The 20299-nt window shown below is 38.2% G+C and overlaps 1 long non-coding RNA gene across 1 annotated transcript in view, besides 2 other annotated features; it reads left to right on the top strand.

The window, feature by feature from the left end:
* The window catches only part of RBBP8-AS1 (RBBP8 antisense RNA 1), a 210274-nt gene that overhangs the window by 46332 nt on the left and 143643 nt on the right, over nucleotides 1-20299 (top strand). The gene's annotated exons all lie outside the window — the stretch shown is intronic.
* Nucleotides 1341-2540: an enhancer, noted in NCBI's record as "CDK7 strongly-dependent group 2 enhancer chr18:20464856-20466055 (GRCh37/hg19 assembly coordinates)". NCBI's record gives its function as "activates an origin of replication core promoter dependent on BRD2, BRD4, P300/CBP, MED14 and CDK7 cofactors, with strong dependence on CDK7, by STARR-seq in HCT116 cells {active_cell/tissue: HCT116}" and the evidence as "EXISTENCE:reporter gene assay evidence [ECO:0000049][PMID:35650434]".
* Nucleotides 14289-14408: an enhancer, noted in NCBI's record as "active region_13139". NCBI's record gives its function as "activates an Ori minimal core promoter by ATAC-STARR-seq in GM12878 lymphoblastoid cells {active_cell/tissue: GM12878}" and the evidence as "EXISTENCE:reporter gene assay evidence [ECO:0000049][PMID:35858748]".

Here is a 20299-nt window from a genome sequence, read left to right as displayed (position 1 = left end):
TCGATGGTCTTTACAATTTGGCATGTTTTTGCAATGGCTGGTACTGGTTGTTCCTTTCCATGTTTAGCGCTTCCTTCAGGAGCTCTTTTAGGGCAGGCCTGGTGGTGACAAAATCTCTCAGCATTTGCTTGTCTGTAAAAGATTTTATTTCTCCTTCGCTTATGAAGCTTAGTTTGGCTGGATATGAAATTCTGGGTTCAAAATTCTTTTCTTTAGGAATGTTGAATATTGGCCTCCACTCTCTTCTGGCTTGTAGAGTTTCTCCCAAGAGATCCGCTGTTAGTCTGATGGGCTTCCCTTTGTGGGTAACCCGACCTTTGCCTCTGGCTGCCCTTAACATTTTTTCCTTCATTTCAACTTTGGTGAATCTGAGAATTATGTGTCTTGGAGTTGCTCTTCTCAAGGAGTATCTCTGTGGCGTTCTCTGTATTTCCTGAATTTGAATGTTGGCATGCCTTGCTAGATTGGGGAAGTTCTCCTGGATAGTATCCTGCAAAGTGTTTTCCAACTTGGTTCCATTCTCCCTGTCACTTTCAGGTACACCAATCAGACGTAGATTTGGTCTTTTCACATAGTCCCATGTTTCTTGGAGGCTTTGTTCCTTTCTTTTTACTCTTTTTTCTCTAAACTTCTTACTTCATTTCAGTCATTGGATCTTCAATCACTGATACCCTTTCTTCCAGTTGATCAAATCGGCTACTGAAGCTTGTGCATTCATCACGTAGTTCTCATGCCGTGTTTTTCAGCTCCATCAGGTCATTTAAGGACTTCTGTACATTGGTTATTCTAGTTAGCCATTCGTCTAATCTTTTTTCAAGGTTTTTAGCTTCTTTGAGATGGGTTTGGACTTCCTCCTTTAGCTTGGAGAAGTTTGATCTTCTGAAGCCTTCTTCTCTCAACCCATCAAAATCATTCTCCATCCTGCTTTGTTCCGTTGCTGGTGAGGAGCTGCGTTCCTTTGGAGGAGGAGAGGCGCTCTGATTTTTAGAATTTTCAGCTTTTCTGCTCTGTTTTTTCCCCATCTTTGTGGTTTTATCTACCTTTGGTCTTTGATGATGGGGATGTACAGATGGGGTTTTGGTGTGGATGTCCTTTCTGTTTGTTAGTTTTCCTTCTAACAGTCAGGACCCTCAGCTGCACGTCTGTTGGAGTTTGCTGGAGGTCCACTCCAGACCGTTTGCCTGGGTATTAGCAGTGGAGGCTGCAGAACAGTGAATATTGCTGAACAGCAAATGTTGCTGCCTGATCATTCCTCTGGAAGCTTCATCTCAGAGAGGTACCCGGCCATGTGAGGTGTCAGTCTGCCCCTACTGGAGGGTGCCTCCCAGTTAGGCTACTCAGGGGTTAGGGACCCACTTGAGGGGGCAGTCTGTCCGTTCTCAGATCTCAAACTCCGTGCTGGGAGAACCACTACTCACTTCAAAGCTGTCAGACAGGGACATTTAAGTCTGCAGAGGGTTCTGCTGCCTTTTGTTTGGCTGTGCCCTGCCCCCAGAGGTGGAGTCTACAGAGATAGGCAGGACTCCTTGAGCTGCGGTGGGCTCCACCCAGTTCGAGCTTCCTGGCGGCTTCCTTACCTACTCAAGCCTCAGCAATGGCCGGCACCCCTCCCCCAGCCTCGCTGCTGCCTTGCAGATCGATCTCAGACTGCTGTGCTAGCAATGAGTGAGGCTCCGTGGGTGTGGGACCCTCTGAGCCAGGCGCAGGATATAATCTCCTGGTGTGCCGTTTGCTAAGACCAATGGAAAAGCACAGTATTAGGGTGGGAGTGACCCGATTTTCCAGGTGCCGTCCGTCACCACTTCCCTTGGCTAGGAAAGGGAATTCCCTGACCCCTTGCACTTCCCGAGTGAGGTGATGCCTCACCCTGCTTTGACTCACACTCCGTGGGCTGCACCTGCTGTCCTGCCCCCACTGTCCGACACTCCCCAGTGAGATGAACCCGGTACCTCAGTTGGAAATGCAGAAATCACGCGTCTTCTGCGTCGCTCATGCTGGGAGCTGTAGACTGGAGCTGTTCCTATTTGGCTATCTTGGAACCCAACAGATGGATTTAAGAAAGTAACAATTTTGTAGTCTCCAGTGTGTATCTGGTGAGTTTACGCCACTTAGTGATTACTGACATATTTAGAATTATTTTTATCATCTTTTGTGCTTCCATTTACTCTGTTTTTTTTTTTCTCTGTATCTACCACTTCTCTCCCCCTCTACTGGTTTGATAGTTATATATTCTGTAATTTCAGTGGCTTTCTTAAAATTATTTTATTAACAAGTCTAAAGTTAATATATCTGTCCTCCAGACAAATAAGACAGGAACCTTAAAATTATGTTAATTCCAATTGTCTCACTTTAATCTTAGAGAAAAAATGGATTGCTTATACATGAATGATAGTCTGCTGACAGATTTCTCATCGGCATCAGCAGAATACAGCAAATAAACATCTTCTAACAGTTGAGGTAAATGAACTGTCTGCTTAAGAGTTAATAACCAATGAAAATATCATTCAAAGGCAAAACTCACAGATTCTTCCCAAGAGAACACTAAATGATATACCTCAGTCACAAGAAAACAATGGAGAAGAGTGGGATGTAAGTAACAATGTTTATCAAAGAGACTGGTAAATATACTGATACATTTTTATAAACACGAACTACAAAAAGTAATACTAAGAATAATTCTGTGGGATAGCTTTGCATTTTTTTTTACAGATGGAGAAAAGAAGAGTGGAGAAGTGAAGTATCAAACTTGTATGAGGTCACACAGCTAAAGACTACAGCTAGGAGAATGTCCTCTAGCTCAGAAATGACGTGAAACTCAAAAAGCAATTCTAACAGTCTGCATTTATTCTTTTAGCTCATTTGTGACCCAGAGAGTTTTAATGTCTGTGAGTTCTAGAATGTATAAGAAAAATTTACTCAGGCACTATCCTTTGAATTAGAACATGGAACAACAAGGTCCTATAAATTGTGATAATTTATCTTATTTGAAATCCCAGTTATGCAGAGTGATTTTTCAGTCACTTGCATAATTACAGAAACTTTGAGAAATATTAAGTAATCGGTGGTGATATGACCATGTTCAGAAACCAAAGGCCAAAAGAGAAGCCAAATTGAATAAACAAAATTGTCTTAGTAAATAGCAAAATGTAGAGTTCCTCTGTATTTGGAGGTAAATTCTAAACAATAAAACACATGTGATGTTTTGTTTTTTAAAAAGATCACCTTATTTATTCTTAAACCAGGCTTACAAGCTACAATATAATCTTTTAAAATTATAGGTAATTACAAAAAGGCACATTAAACTTCAGTTAATCACAGTTGTTTCAAAAATATGTCCCTTCTCTTGACAAAGCAGTAACTCAGCCAAAACTTGGATAAACTGGCATTTCCTTAGATCACATGTTTCATTCCTAAACACAATGCCCCTTGTGTTTCTTTCAGGTGTCCATACTTTCTCTGAAAAATAGATCTCCCCTTCCAAAGCTTGAGCATTATCTACTCTTTGTTTGAAAATAAATGCATTGTTCATGTGGGGACTAGTAACGCAGGTGTTTTACCTCTCTTTTCCCAGTCAGGCTGATTCTTAAGCCTTTTATGAAATCAGTTCAGTTTAGTCAAATCTCTGACATCCACTTTTTATTGCCATTTCCCTTTATGGCTATAATATCAGCCCTAAATACAACAAGATCATCTTTTATTCCATTATGTTTACCTCTTTCTTCTACAACAGTTATCTTAGAAGATGTTTACATTTTTAGTTAATATCTCAAGTCTTGCCAACATTCTGCTTTCTTCTCACTTCTTGAAGACTAACTCTGGGGCAAGGCCAAAGTTCAGATCAAGCATTAATAGTTCAAGTTGTTTTCATTTTTCCTAAACTCCTTAAGGTACCCAGATTTGCTCCTGTCACTGGAAAGCACTGTCTAAAAGCTTTGCATGAAATTAAACTCCCTGAGGTGTGACCAAACTGAATAAAGCTGTGGAGGGATGTATTGAAGCAACTCTTCCTGAGTGAGGCATGAGAAACACTGACATTCTTAACACAGCAAGGATTGGTGTTGGGTGTCAGGTAACTGATTGTGTCTTCTGAAATACAGAGTTTCAACCCCTCATTTTATTTCCAAACAATCACTTTTATGTTACTCTCTAGAGAATGAGGAGGGTCGGATCTTAGATCATGGGGCATGCTATAGCTGAGAACGGAAAAAGGGGAGCAGAATTACTTAAAGACTTCATCTCTTCAATGCAGAGGATAGTAATTGATATTACTTATCAAAGTATCTCTTTTCTAGCTATGCAACATGAAGTTTCAAGCAATTTATTATTGTCATTGATGTCTCAATTGTGTACATAATCCCCTTTTCCTGTCATTTACGATACTAAAATATACTTTAGTAAAATATAGTACATATTTTAGGTTTTTATCGTATTGTTTTCATGGCTAAGAGATTTAACAATTTCATCTTTTATTATAAATGTTAGAAGGTTTATGTGAAAATAGTGAATAATCAGTAAATAATCTAGCTTCTTTTTCTAATTGCAATGTTTTTCTTAATATGACAATGTACTGAAAGCTTTGTTGATTAAAAGTGGAATGTAACACGTTCATAGTGTATATTATTGCTTCTTTGTCCAGTTTGCCAAATGTAACTAATGTGAACTTATTCATAAAACACACTATGCTGTTATGAGTGGCTGCAGAGTTCCTTTACAATATTGCAGCTTCATTTTAAAAACAAGTACACATTTCTTCAGTTGTCCAAAAAACATTCTGTAGGAATTAGAAATCCATTTCAAAATGGATTTTACTTTATATGTTAAGATTGATAATTCTACAGAAAAACTTAAACCAGAGTTTGGTATTCATATTTTACACTGGCAATACTCTGTAACACTGGGTGCTATAGTTCATATGGACAATAAGATGGAGCTCAGCATTATGTGAATATATTAAGGAGATTTAATTACAAGGAGGTACATGACCCTGGCCTCAAGGAAAGTGTTAATCAAGACATTTGAGTGTTTAGAGATTTTGATATCAATGGCTGAAATGAATTTGTAAAGCATAATTATAATATGGAACCTCCACTCAAGCATAATCTCACCTTTCTTCAGTTATTCTTAAGCATAGGTCACTTATTTATGCTTGAGTCAGCTGATTTCAAAACTCCTACTTCATAGCCCCTTGGGCCAGCTAAAGAAAGCTTTCTTCACTGCATATATGGGAAATAGCACTCTGAAACCCCTTGCTTGAAATGGAGAAAGGGAAAAAAAACCCCTCTATATTTCCAGCATTTTGAAGTTCAAATTTGCAAACACAATGTATCCAAAATTTCTAAAGTTTTAGTTAAGCTGCAAATACACTAGGTAAATTGATTTAACAAATATTTTTTCTTTTTCAACTTTGTTGAGGAATAATTTATGCATAATAAACTGCATGTATTTAAAGTGTACAATTTGATGAGTTCTGACAAATTGTATGCACCTGTCCACAATCAGAATACAGAACATGTCCATCACCCCACAAAGATTCCTTGTGCTCCTTTGCAGTTCCTCCCTTTTTCTATACTCTATCCTCACTTCCACTGATCTGCTTTTTAAATTTTTATTTTGTTTTAATTTTAGAGACAGAGTCTTGCTCTGTCATCCAGGCTGGAGTGCAGTGGCATGATCATAGCTCACTGTAATCTCAAACTCCTGGGCTTACATGATCCTCCTGCCTCAGCCTCTGGAGTAGCTAGGACCACAGGTACATGCCACCATGCCTGGCTAATTAAAAATTTTTTTTTGAAGAGACAGGGTCTTGCTATGTTGTCCAGGCTAGTCTCAAACTTCTGGCTTGAAGGGATCCTCCCATCTCAGCCTCATCTCTATTTTATTTGTGCTTTATACAAATGGAATTATATAATATTTACTATTTTGTGCCTGGTTCCTTAATTCCACATAATGATTTTAAGACTCATCCATATATTGTTGCACATATCAATAGTTCTTTCCTTTATATTGCTGAGTAGTATCCCATTGTATAGAAGTACCCACATTTTGCTTATCCATTCACATGTTAATGGACATTTGGGTCATTTCCAGTTTGAGGTTCAATCAACACATACTTACTGACCACTATTAACTGTCCAGGCAAATGTTCTAAAGAAAAATGGGAGACCATGGGAAGCAAAATAGTCAAAATCATGGCCAAAATGGAGATTACTGGAGGGGATGGATATTATGTAAACAAATATAAAGCATGCCTGATGAGGAGAATAAAGCAGGATAAGAGAGAAAGGAAATCCAGAATTGAGGCAGATTCTGTTTTCTATAGGATGATCAAGAAAGGCCTCGCTGATGAGATAACCTTTGTACAAAGACCTAAAAGAAGAAAATGAGTGATCCATGTAGACATCTGGGTGAAGAGTACTGAGACTTAAGTGCCTAAAAGTTAAGCTTAAAGAAAAGTCTTTTTGCCTCACTTTATCATTCATGGTTCTAATAGTTATTTTTGGTTCAATGGTAGGTATTTTTACAACTGCTTTTGACATCAGTTTTAGCCTGTTGGGAAAGACAGTGGCCTGCTGCCTGCTGCTGCTGCCGCCGCCACACCTGGGGTCTCCAGGAAGAGCCTTGAACCTTGTAAAGTTCCTTTGAGGAGAATGAATCATTCAAATGCTTGTATAGAGTTTATCTTAAAGATTTTAGGAATCTTTCAGCTCCTCAGAGGAGACTATGAGACTCTGACTTTGTCATGTGGGGCAGCTGACACTTTGCCTTAATAACCTCATTTGTTATAGGATAGTGTCTATTGCTGGACTCATACTGAAAAGGTAAGGATAACTATCCCCAGGGGTGTTAGAGGGTTCCGTGGGGACAGAAGTGTATGAAATGCCCTTGGAAAACTATCTAAGTTACCTTCCTTTTTCTAAACTGGTGGCTGAGCCAGTATGTGGATAATGGAAATACCAGATTATAGAGAGATTCTTAAGAGCTACGTTTAGTAAATAATTTTTTTAAAGCATTATCTATCTTAGCTCTGCCCAATATTGCAGGTATTGAAAGACTTTCAGGATGTCCAATCTCTTCATCTTTGAAAGCAAAATGTAACACCATATAACCTAAACCTAGAATAGACCCAGTGTATCTATGAGTTTCTTTGGGCTGTAACCTGTCCCATTACACTTAACCATCTTTTACCTTGACTTCCTGAATGTTATCAGCCTCACCAAGAGTAGATCCCAGCATTAACCCAATGCTAGTACTTCTTCTTACTTATTATTTGATCTTCTATATATATCATTATGGATTCATGTATATTTATTTTATAATTTGGGATTATAATCCAATGCTATGTTATTTATTTTGTTGCTCAGATTTTTCCAGTTTTGGCCATTAGTTCTTTCAGGTTGGCTGTTGTGACTCTTTGGCATGCTTCTATCATTTTATTTTTTGAGCAGTTCCTTACTTTCTGGTATTGTAAGATGTTTCAGGCTTATTTTTATTTTCCCGGCCCCAGTCCTAGAATCAGCCAGTTTCCCAAGAATCTCTGGTTCCTTTTATTGGAAAATGGTATTTAGAAGCCAAGATATGAGTACTGGGTTTGTGCTTTGCTGCTGGGGTGTGATTGCTTCCAGGATGTCTGAGTCAACAGGGCTAGGTAATGTATGTATGTATGTATATTAACTGGTGTATACACACATATCTATAAGTAGTGTCTACCTGTCTATTTATCTATTAAACTAACCGTGAGTTCATACTGATGTCTTCAATTCTAATCCAGCACCACAGGGTTTATTTTATCCTCCCCTTCTAGTTTATTTGCAACTTTAGTCTCTCACAGGGAGAAATCTGGCTCCCACAACCTTCCGTTTGTTTACTTAGTTGTTCAACCTTATTATTCATGCAAAGCAATTACTACAAACATTTTAAATGCAATTCTGTATCTGACAATTTATCCTACCATACATCCACACTGGTATGTAACAATATTTGCATAAGAACTGTTCATTGAAGCATTGGACTCTCTCCTTTCCTTCCCTTTTAAACCTTATTAGATTATCTTTGATTTTTAAAAAACCTTTTGTTGTGGACGTTTTCAAGTACACGCAGCAGTAGAGAGAAAAGTATTCTGAACCCTATGAAACCATAGTTCAGCTTTAACAATTTTTTATTTTGCATATCTTGTTTAATCTGTTCCCCATATTCTTTTTTTTTTTTAGTATTTTAAAGCAAATCCCAGAGATCATATCATTTCACCTCTAAATACTTCAGTAAGCATTTCATCAGATAAGGTTTTTTTTAAAAAAGCATAACCACAATGTCATTCTCATACCTAAAAATTAATAGTAATTCCTTTATATAATACGATACCCAATCTATGGTAAAATTTCCCCAACAATGTGAAAAAAATCTTTTCACAGTTAGTTTGTTTGAATCAGAATCCATGGTAGACAGAATATTGCCCCATAACCCCATCCCTACGAAGATGTCCACATTTTATGCCCTGGAATCTATGTTACCATGTTACTTTATGTGGCAACGGGGACTTTGCAGATGTGATTATGTTAAGGATCTTGAGATGGGAAGGTTATCCTGGATTATCTGGATGTGCTCAGTGTATTTACAGTGTTTCCATGTGAGAGAAGTAGGAGGGTCAGAATCACAGAAGGAGATGAGAGCAGAAACAGATGGCAGAGAGATGCCCTTGCTGCAAGGGGGGCACAAGGCAAGGAATGTGGACAGCCTCCACAAGCTGGAAAAGGCAAAAAAATGGATTAACTCCTAGAGCCTCCAGAAGGAAGGTGGTCTGACTGCATTTTAGCCTGTGAGGCCCCTTTTTGGATTTCTGACCCCTAGAAGAGAATAAAGTGTCGTTTTAAGCCACTAAATTTGCGATAATTTGTTACAGCAGCACTAGAAAAATAAAGGATCCAAAATCTACATATCTCATAGGGTTGTCATATATCTTAAATTTCTTTTAACTGATTATAGTTTTATCTCTTTTTATTTTCTGATGTATTGGAAGAAACTGGATCATTCATCCATATGATGTTCTGCATTCTGGATTGGCTCATTTTACCTCCTGGTGTCATTTAACTTGTTGTTCTATATCCTGTATTTCCTAAAAATTAATACTAAATTATAAAGGCTTATTTATACTCAGGTTCAATTTTGGGGGGAGGCAGTATACTTCATACATGGTGCCTTGTGCTTCCTATTACATCACACCAGGAGACAATGAACAGTTGTCCTATTGTTTGTGCTGCTAACCTAATCTGGCCACCCAAAAACTTCCATCAATCTTTTACTTAGGGTTTTAGCAGCTATTGATGATTAATACTTATATCCATTATTTCACTAATTGTTCCAAAATGGTGATGAATTAGTTCTTCTGTAAGGAAGAACTTTCTCTGATAAGAGTGACTGTTTACTCTGAAATATAGTTTGCATATGAAAACAGAATATATCCTTGATTCCCTTCATTCATGGAATTTTTTGGAATAGTAAGTTTGTGTGTCCTAAGAACCTCTAATGGTAACAAATGAAGTTTTTTTTTTATTAGTTTAATTATGAATTCATGGATTTACATATTTGTTGTGTTTTAATCAGTTGGAATCAGTATTATTTTTCATGCTCAAATTGTCCTTTGCCAAGTGACAACCCTTCGAGGTGACTATCTAGTTTTCTGATGCGAAATTTTGTTTGCGTGCCTGTGCTTTCACTATTTTCTTTCCCACTCTACAGTATCATTTGCATGGTTTTAGTTTAGCTTCTCATTAATTCACTTTGAAAATAAAAAGAAAATGTGTATATTTTAGTTTCTTTTCTTTTTTCTTTCTTTTTTTTGACAAAAGTTAACATATACTCTGATTTGCACCTTGTTTTCTTCATTTAATGATACATTCTGGAGATCCCTTCATATAAGTATAAAGAGAGATGCCTCATTTCTTTTTACAGCTATACAGTATTCTGTGTTGGGATGTACCGTGGTTTAGTCAGTCAGTTCCATATTGACGAATATCTTTTTTTCTAGTCTTTGGGAAATAATAGCTATATTCCTGTATATACTTGCTATGATGTTGTAAGGTACTTCCTCCTTGGGACCCTGGCTTTTGATTTAGTCGGTGAGTTCTGGGACTGAGAATTGGCTCAGGTCTTGAAACCAAACAAGGGATTTCATTTTTTTTGTTGGCAGTAGTTACCATCAACCTCTTGTTTCATCCATCTTTGATTTCTTTTGATCAGTTAGATTGAGCAATACCCTTATTGGCTTCCCATCTGTCTGGCACCATGGGTACCATGCTCTATTAAAAAATCTGTATCTTTCTGTGGTTCAGGGAACTTTCACAGTGATCTGCTGTTGCTTGTGATAATTGTGCCTACCTTGCTTCTAATGGCTTATGAGTTTGGCAAGCGGATGGTATTTTCACTTCACTTAGTGTAGGCCATTTTGTTTTTGTTTTGTTTTTTTGGTTCTAAGAGTTACCCTGTCAGCATGGTAGCAGTGTCTCTTGGAGTTCTTGCCAGGTGACTAAATCCTATATTCTAGGAGAGTGCCATAAACTCAGAGCCTGGAGGAGAACCTGCTTTCTAAAGTGATAAGGAATGAGATGGTGAAAGGAGTACCATAATCATTGAGAAACTCAGTGTTGGCTATCCTCTATAGGCCACAGCTGACAGTAAGAGAGAGACTCTCACAGAACTAGTCTTACTGATAGCAATGGGGATAACAGGCTTCCAAAATTATAGAAGCCAGGTGACAAAGCTCAACTGTTTTAACAGGAAAAATCTAGAAACAAACTGAATGTTCATCAATATGGGACTGGTTAATTAAATTATAGTAACCATAATTTATGTGGTAATACATTCTGTGAGGTACATCTATATGTACATTAAGTCCTCACTTAACATTGTCACTAGGTTCTTGGAAACTGACTTTAAGGGAAATGATGTATAACAACATAAATTTTACCACAGGCTAATTGATATAAACAAGAATTAAGTTTCTTTTTTTTTTTTTTTTTTTGAGACGGAGTCTCGCTCTGTCGCCCAGGCTGGAGTGCAGTGGTGCAGTCTCGGCTCACTGCAAGCTCCGCCTCCAGGGTTCATGCCATTCTCCTGTCTCAGCCTCCCAAGTAGCTGGGACTACAGGCACCTGCCACCATGCCCGGCTAATTTTTTGTATTTTTAGTAGAGACGGGGTTTCACTGTGTTAGCCAGGATGGTCTCGATCTCCTGACCTCGTGATCCGCCCGCCTCAGTCTCCCAAAGTGCTGGGATTACAGGCATGAGCCACCGCGCCTGGCCAAGAATTAAGTTTCTATAACATAGTTCTGGTCATGAGAACATCACCAAATTTCTCAATAAAGACCAAAACACTTCTAATATTAAACATTGAAATAAATGTGAATTATACGTATGCTTAAGAAAGATTAATAAAAATAAGTAAGATAATTATTTACCCAGTTATTTCAGTTCAGGGTCACAGGAGGCCAGAACTAATCTCTGCAGCCGAGGGTATAAGGTGGGAACCAACCCTGGACAGAGAGTTCCATCCCATTGCGGGGCATACTCACACATGTCCCTAAACTCATCCTGGAACCATTTAGACACACCAGTTCACCTAATGTGCACATTTTTGGGATTGGGAGAAAACTCACCAAAGATGGGAGAACATGCAAACTTCACATGGCCCTGGCTGGGAATCAATTTTTTTTCTCATCAATGTTAAAATGAAATGATGTTGAATGAAATGACGTTATTTGAGGACCTGCTGTGCCACTATAGAAAAATCTTCAAGATACAGTATATGAAAAAAAAAATTGCAGATTAGGTTGGGCACGGTGGTTCATTGCCTGTAATCCCAGCACTTTGGGAGGCCAAGGCAGGCGGATTGCTTGAGTCTAGGAATTCAAGACCAGCCTGGGCAACATGGCGAAATCCCATCTCTACTAAAAATACAAAAAATTAGCCAGGTATGGTGGTCAGCATGTCTGTAGTCCCAGCTACTCGGGAGGCTGAGCCTGGGAGGTCGAGGCTGCAGTGAACTGAGATCATGCCACTGCATTCCAGCCCGGGCAACCAGAGTGAGATTCTGTCTCAAAAAAAACAAAAACAGAAACAAACATTACAGATTTAATATATAGAGTATGATCTCAGTTGTATATAAACAAAGGATATTTTATGTTTACTTATTTGAATTTGCATAGAAAATGCCTGGAAGACTACAAAAAAAAAAAAAAACCTTCTGGGCAATACAATTAGAAGCTGAAGAGGGATAAAGGTATTTTTTTACTTTTAATTTTATGCCCTCTCTACTGTTTGAAATTTTTATGGCAAGTACTGTTGATTTTATATTATTTTAAAAATGATACTGCTATTGAACCAACTGGTGAGTATTGTTGCTTGGAGTTTTGCTTTCATTTCATACCTCATCCACTTGATCAGCCGTCTGGGAAAAAGATAACAGCCCAGAGTTAGGCCCTGAAACCCAGACACTGTGATTTTTGTTGATTACCAGTCTCACAATATCCATTTAGCTTCAGTTCTCTCTGGGCTTCTGTCACATTGTGGAGACCCCAATATCCCTAGGAGTCATGAAACAATGACTAGGGTCTTAATGTTTCTGTGCAATTAGACCAAAGTTTTTGGAGGAATACACAAATGAAAATGTGGGGAGAACAGCTTGTAATTGTGCATCTTTGGACTGACTTAATTTCCGTTATTTGGCCAAATAATCCAATTTAGTGTGTTTTTAAGTGGATATTAGTACATTCATTCTTTTTCCATTTTATACAGCATTATTTTGATCATAATTCAACTTTTTTTTTTGAGACAGAATCTTGCCCTTTTCCCCAGGCTGGAGTGCAGTGGCATAATCTCAGCTCACTGCAACCTCCGCCTCCTGGATTCAAGCGATTCTCCCACCTCAGCCTCCAGAGTAGCTGGGACTACAGGTGCATGCTACCACATCTGGCTAATTTTTATATCTTTTGGTAGAGACAAGTTTTCAGCATGTTGGCCAAGCTGTTTTTGTACTCCTGACCTCAAGTGATCCACCCACCTTGGCCTCCTAAAGTGCTGGGATTACAGGCATGAGCCACCACACTGGGCCAGATCATAATTCAACTTTTAAAGAACACAGTGTTAAATCCAATTTCATAGATGAAACTATGAACACTAAAAAGACTAATAGAACTTAATGACATTCTGGGTGGAATAATTATTTGGTTTAATTCTTAGATTGGTATTTGGAATTAAAATGCTAAGGTGATTATTGCTTTAGAAATTTGCTTATAAATAGTAAACAGTAAGTAAATGGAGAATATACAAGTTAACATCTATCACCTTCCTTCTCCCTAGTAATGTAGCAAGTAGGATTCTAATTTAAAATACTAATTTAGCTCCCACCTATAATCCCAGCATTTTGGGAGGCCAAGGTGGGAGGCTCACTTGAGGTCAGGAGTTCAAGACCAGCCTGGCCAACACAGTGAAACCCCATCTCTACTAAAAATACAAAAATTAGCCAGGCATGGTGGTGGGCACCTGTAATCCCAGCTACTTGGTAGGCTGAGGCAGGAGACTTGCTTGAACCGGGGAGGCAGAGGCTGCAGTAAGCTGAGATTGCGCTACTGCACTCCAGCCTGGGGTACAGAGGGAGACTTCATCTCAAAAATAAAAATAAAAATAAAAATAAATAAAACTAATTTAAACCTGATCTATTTCTGACATCTCGTCAGGTTTTTTCCCAGATAAGGCAGGAAATAAAAAATGTGCACACCTTTCAAAGCTTAAGTTAACACAATCCTACAAAATAAATAAACAAAAATACTATGTATATTGAGCAGACAACTAAAAGCTAGTGTTAAACCCCTGGGGGAATAAATAGGCTAATCATGCCTTGGTATATTTCTTGAGAACTTTTCATTTTTGTCACATAAATTAGATATTCTGAGATCTCTGCCAGGAAGTGGATATAACCTTTCCACTATCAAACACAGATAAAATCCTTGTCTACACGTTTTCGCAAGTAGGTCATTCATTAATCTGACATGCTCTACTCTGTTTACACAGAGCAGGGTAACATTTTAGCTTTTAGTTATACTTTCGGTTTCTGCCTTGCTAAGAGAAGGATTCAGTTGTTTTCAGTATAATCTCATTGTCTTTAATGAAAATGCAACAAGGACCATGATATGGTTTGGCTCTGTGTCTCCACCCAAATCTCATGTTGAATTGTAATCCTTGGTGTTGGGGTAGGGACCTGGTGGGAGGTGGTTGGATCATGGTGGGGGGGTTCCCCACTTGCTGTTCTCGTGATAGTGGATTATCATGAGATCTGGTTGTTTAAAAGTGTGTAGCACTTCCCTTTGCTCTATCACTCTCTCCTGCTGCCACGTGAAGAAGATATTTGCTTCCCCTTTGCCTTCCACCATGATTGTAAGTTTCCTGAGGCCTCCCATTCATGCTTCCTGTTAAGCCTGCAGAACCGTGAGTCGATTAAATTTCTTTTCTTCATAAATTACCCAGTCGCAGGTAGTTCTTTATAGCAGTGTGAGAATGGATTAATACAGACTAGTAATAGCAAACTGCATTGTAACTGAGACCATCCAGTTCAACCTTATATTTCAGCTACTACAAGTCCTGATTGATGATCCAACCAACCTAATTTTTATAGTCAAGACACTCATAAGCACCTGCCATAGATTTAGCATCAAAACTGTCAGTTTTCTAGATTTTCCTTTCCGAAGCATCCTAGGCTCTTGAACATAGTAGTAAAAGGAAAAGTCACGGCTCTTTCCTGCTGTGTGTGTCAAACCTTCCTTGCTGGCATCCGTTCTGGTTGGTGAGAGGCAGTTTAGACTAGACATTGTCTGAAGTTTGGAGTTGTTAAAAGGGGCTATTTGGGAGGTATCTTGAAAATACTTAATGCTTCTCTTTGCTTGCACCAAGGCAAAGAAATAAACCTTTTAGAATTCACAAAGGGAGGAAAGAAGAACAAAAGGGCAATCATCAGAGGCAGTGGTTTGGATGATAAGCAAGTCTGTTGTTTTCATGTCACTTCTGTTGTTCCTGTGCTGGATGTCTTCCAATTGCACACTCCTCCCTTATCTACCCTGCTTTCTGTCTAGAGAGGCTGACCTGTTTTAAATTAAATCAATGGTTTTCCAAATGTGGCCCCTGGATAATCAGTATCACCTGGGGACTTGCTGGAAGTGCACATTTTCAGGCCCCATCCCAGACCTCTTGAATCATAAACTCTGGGGGTGGGACCCAGGAATCTGTGCTTCGACAAACTGGCCAAGTGATTCTGAAGCATTCTAACCTTTGAGAATCACTAGATTACAAAATTAAGCTCCTTTGTGGCCTCTAGTTGGTTTTGATCAGTGGGGAGCATCAATAGGAAATCTGAGGGAGGGAGGAGAATGTGGTCTGGGCATTTATTTTCCCAGCTCTCTCCCTATGAGGTCACTGGCATTTGGCCACATTCCTCTAATGGAGGCCACATCTGTAGGAGGCTTTTGCAGGTCACAGTAACCTCTCCTCCTCTTGGGGCTCTTGCTGTGGCTAGCCTCACAGGTGCTACATTCTTCCTTAATAGCTTCTCTCAAATCTGCCCACACTTGTAAATAGTCCCTTTAATGACCTCTTCTTGATGACCCTATTTGAGTATAGTTGGTATAGTTCCCAGTGCAATTTTTGTAATGTCTATTTAAGTGACTCTTTACTTTCGTGAATACTCTTTTTTCCCTTATTTACTTCATAGGATTGTTAGGAGGACTAAATGAATTAATATGCTTATCACGGTGTCTGGTTCATAGGCAGACAATATATAGTAGTTATTTGTAGAGGTGTTACAGTGTTTTTGCTGTATGCAGCCATTAGATATCAATATGTAAATGTCTTTAGCATCTTTCCATTATTGCACCTCTGCCCCTTGGCCATCCGGTATTACAGTTGATTTTCATATTGATTAACTGATTTCAGGTGGAGGAATAATCAGAACCATGAAAAAGTTCAACAGTTTGGTGGTTAAACATTAAAACCAGTTTTAAATCATCAGAACCAAAGTGCCATTAAACTCAATAATTAAGTGATTATTATCTAATTTATAAAACATGTAGAAAGGTTTGCAGTTCCTTATTAACAGCTATTGTTGCTCCTCAATGGATTCTAAGTTTACTGGCACTGCTGTGAACATCTCACTAGTAATAAGACATCATGAAATTATGTGTGTGATCACCCAAATAGGTAAAAAATTAAGTGGAGAGTATGAGGGGGTCTTAACAGTGACTTCTATCTCAGTATGTCTGCTTTGTCCAGGGCGAGCTTCCAGGATCCTGCACCCAAAAGGACTATGGTTTGATTTAATGATTCGTTTGGAATTTTTAACAATTTTTGAACAGTGGGCCCCACATTTTTACTTTGCATTGCCCCGTAGGATTATGTGGTTGGTTCTTGCTCTGCCATATTCATATTTGTTCAAGATGACCCAGTTAAGTATGATTACTATCAAAAATAAAGTCTGACTGTATTATCATACCTATTAATAATTACTTTATTCATTTTGGTCTCCAGATGAAAGTTTCTAAAACTCCAGCTCTCACTGTATTAAACAAATGTGTTCATCTCAAAAACTGAAAAATAGTTTTACCTGTATCACTATTTCTAATTAAATATAACAGATAAGGAAACAGATAAGATCCAGTATACAAAATCAACAGGATTATGTTGAAAATACTGAGAAGTTAAGGTGCTAACAGGAACTGCTATTCTATTTCATCAGGCAACCAAGCCATAAAGGTTCTGACTCAAAGCTACAGACACACACGAAAAATGCTTTTCTTTGGATAGATTTCCTTTGAGAGTAAAATAAGGAATAGTAGATATCCTTGGTAGCTCAGCAACAGGTAAGTTTCATCTAAACAATAACTTTGTTAGTCAGAGGCTATCTTCCCTGAATAACCTAAAATTATTATTAATTAAATTTTTTTTTGAGATGGAGTCTTGCACTGTCGCCCAGGCTGGAGTGCAGTGGCACGATCTCCGCTCACTGCAACCTCCGCTTCCTGGGATCAAGCGATTCTCCTGCCTCAGCCTCCTGAGTATCTGGGATTACAGGTGCCTGCCACCACGCCTGGCTAATTTTTTGTATTTTTAGTAGAGACAGGGTTTCACTATGTTGGCCAGGCTGGTCTTGAACTCCTGACCTCATAATCCGCCCACCTTGGCCTCCCAAAGTGCTGGGATTACAGGCATGAGCCACCACACCTGGCCCCTAAAATTATTTTTTTTTCTTTTAAGTTCTGGGATATATGTGCAGGACATGCAGGTTTGTTACGTAGGCAAACGTGCCTTGGTGGTTTGCTGCACCTACCAACCCATCACCTAGGTATTATCTTGATGCTCTCCCTCCCCCACTCCGCCTCTGACAGGCCCCAATGTGTGTTGTTATCCTCCCTGTGTCCATGTGTTCTCATTGTTCAGCTCTCACTTATAAGTGAGAACATGTGGTGTTTGTTTTCTGTTCCTGCATTAGTTTGCTGAGGATAATGGCTTCAAGCACCATCCATGTCCCTGCAAAGGACATGATCTGGTTCTTTTTTATGGCTGCAAAGTATTCCATGGTGTACATGTACCACATTTTCTTTATTCAGTCTATCATTGATGGGCATTTAGGTTGATTCCATGTCTTTGCTATTGTGAATAGTGCTGCAGTGAACATATGCATGCATGTATCTTTATAATAGAATGATTTCTATTCCTTTGGGTATATACTCAGTAATGGGGTTGCTGGGTCAAATGGTATTTCTGGTTCTAGGTTTTGAGGAATCGCCACCCCGTCTTCCACAATGGTTGAACTATTTTACACCAACACTGTAAAAGCATTCCTATTTCTCCACAGCCTCACCAGCATCTGTTTCTTGACTTTTTGATAATCACCATTCTGACTGGCATGAGATGGTATCTCACTGTGGTTTTGATTTGCATTTCTCTAATGCTCGGTGCTATTGAGCTTTTTTTTCATATATATTTTGGCCGCATAAATGTCTTCTTTTGAGAAGTGGCTGTTCACGTCCTTTGCCCTAACCTAAAATTATTGATGAAAATAGAAAAACTTTGGGTTTGAGAATAAATTTTTTCTACAGGGTTGGGACTTGGTTATGAAAATGGAAGTAATTTCTGGTTAAAAATTTATTTCCTCAAGGAATAAATATCTAATACCTGACATAAGGGTGACTCAGAATGTCACTGTTTTCCTTTTTGGCATCCAATGAACAAATCTTAGAAAAGGTTACATGAGCCAATTAACAGCCTTTTCCCAACATGGTGAAGAAACACTCTATTCAATTATGGTTTGCACGGCAGGCTCTCTTACTGTCTTTACTCTGACCAGTCCTTGTGAGACATGGCATTAGTATACAATTGGATCCATTGAAATAATTCATTCCATTATATATCATAATACAAGGAACCTTGCCATGGCAAGTCAAGAAATCTCACTACCCAAAGCAGCTGTGGGCTAAAAGAATGTCAAGGCTTGCAGGGACAGATATATTGGATGCTTGCAATGTGTGGGTAGAATTGTGAGGCCTTATCCTGGTGCTTGGATACATCATCTAGAATTAAATGCTAAAGTCTTTCAGTGCTTTCTTAGCATTTACAGCTTTTCTCCTATACTGTTTGACTGGACTTCACTAAAGGAAATTTATAACACTCAAACTTAATATCAGTTTTCTCACTAAGCAAACCACCCAACCAGTGTTTTAAAGGAAAAAAAAAGTGTTATATCATTCCTTCCTCCTAAATCACTAAAGTGGACCCATTGAGCACCCACAGACTGATGAAAATGTGCTCCAAGGCAGGAGGATGGCTTGAAGCCAGGAGTTCAAGACTAGCCTGGACAATATAGTGAAAACTGTCTCTACCATTTTTTTTAATACAAAAATTAGCCAGGTGTGGTGGTTTGTACCTGTAGTTTTAGCAACTCAGGATGCTGAGGCGAGAGGATTGCTTGAGCCCAGGATTTTGAGGCTGCAGTGAGCTACGTTTGCATCACTACACTCCAGCCTGGGTGATAAAGTGAAATCCTGTCTCAAAAAAGAAGAATGAACAAAAGAAAGAAAGGAAGAAAGAAAAGAAGGAAGAAAGAAAAAAGATGCCATACTAACACTAATCTAAAGTAAGGTGTAGTGGTTATAATTATAGCAAACAAAATAGATCGCAAAGAATATTACTGGGGATAAAGAGTCATTTCTATAAATGGGTCAATTTGTCAAGGGGACATACCATTTCTAAATCTTTTTTGCCTAATAGACTTCAGAAATTCATAAAACAAAAACTGATAGAACTGAAAGAAAAAAATAGCCAAATCCACAATTTCAACCTGTCTCCATATTGATAGAACAAGTAGAAAAACATCAGTAAGGATATAGAAGACTTGAACAACACTATCAAATAATGACAATGTTTATATAATATTAGACTCAACAACAGCAGGATACAGATTCTCTTTAAGCATACACAACATTTGCCTACATTGATCAGATTATGGGCTGTTAAATAAGTCTCAATAAATTTAAAAAGACTCAAATCATAAAATGTATGTTTTCAGTCAACAGTGGAATTAGAATTCAGTAAAAGAGCTATCAGGAAAATTCTAAGTATTTGGAAATTAAATTACTTCTAAATGACCTATGGGCCAAAAAAAAAAAAAAAAAAAAAAAGAGAAACAAAAAAGGAAATAACGTACTTGAACTGAATAAAAATGAATGCACAACATATTGAAATTTGTGGGATGCTGTCAAAGCAGTGCTTAGAGGGAAATTATAGCACTAAATGCTATAAAGAAGATCTTAAATGAGTGACCTCAGCTTCTCTTTTATAAAAATGGAAAAAAAAGCAAATTAAAACTAATCAGAAAAAGGAAAAAATGGTAAGAGCAAAGTCTATTAAATGGAAAATAAACAAAAAGAGAAAAATAAATGAAACCACACCAGATTCTTAGAGAAAATCAATAAAATTGATAAATCTCTAGTCAAACTGATGAGGAAAAAAGAAAACACGAATTGCCAATACCCATAATGATAGAGATGACAAGTACAGATTCCACAGATATTAAGAATAGGTACATAGATAGATATAATAAGGGAATATTATGACAAACTTTATGGTAATAAATTTGAAAACATAGATGAGATGGATAAACTCTTTGAAAGACAAACTACCAAAGCTCACTCAAGAAGAAATAGATAACCTGAATACTCCTGTAGGCTTTGATGAATTTTATGAAACATTTGAGGAAGAAATAATA

This window comes from Homo sapiens, chromosome 18 (genome assembly GCF_000001405.40).
Source record: "Homo sapiens chromosome 18, GRCh38.p14 Primary Assembly".
In the NCBI taxonomy this organism is placed as follows: domain Eukaryota; kingdom Metazoa; phylum Chordata; class Mammalia; order Primates; family Hominidae; genus Homo; species Homo sapiens.
This window is presented reverse-complemented; position numbering and strand designations above follow the sequence as displayed.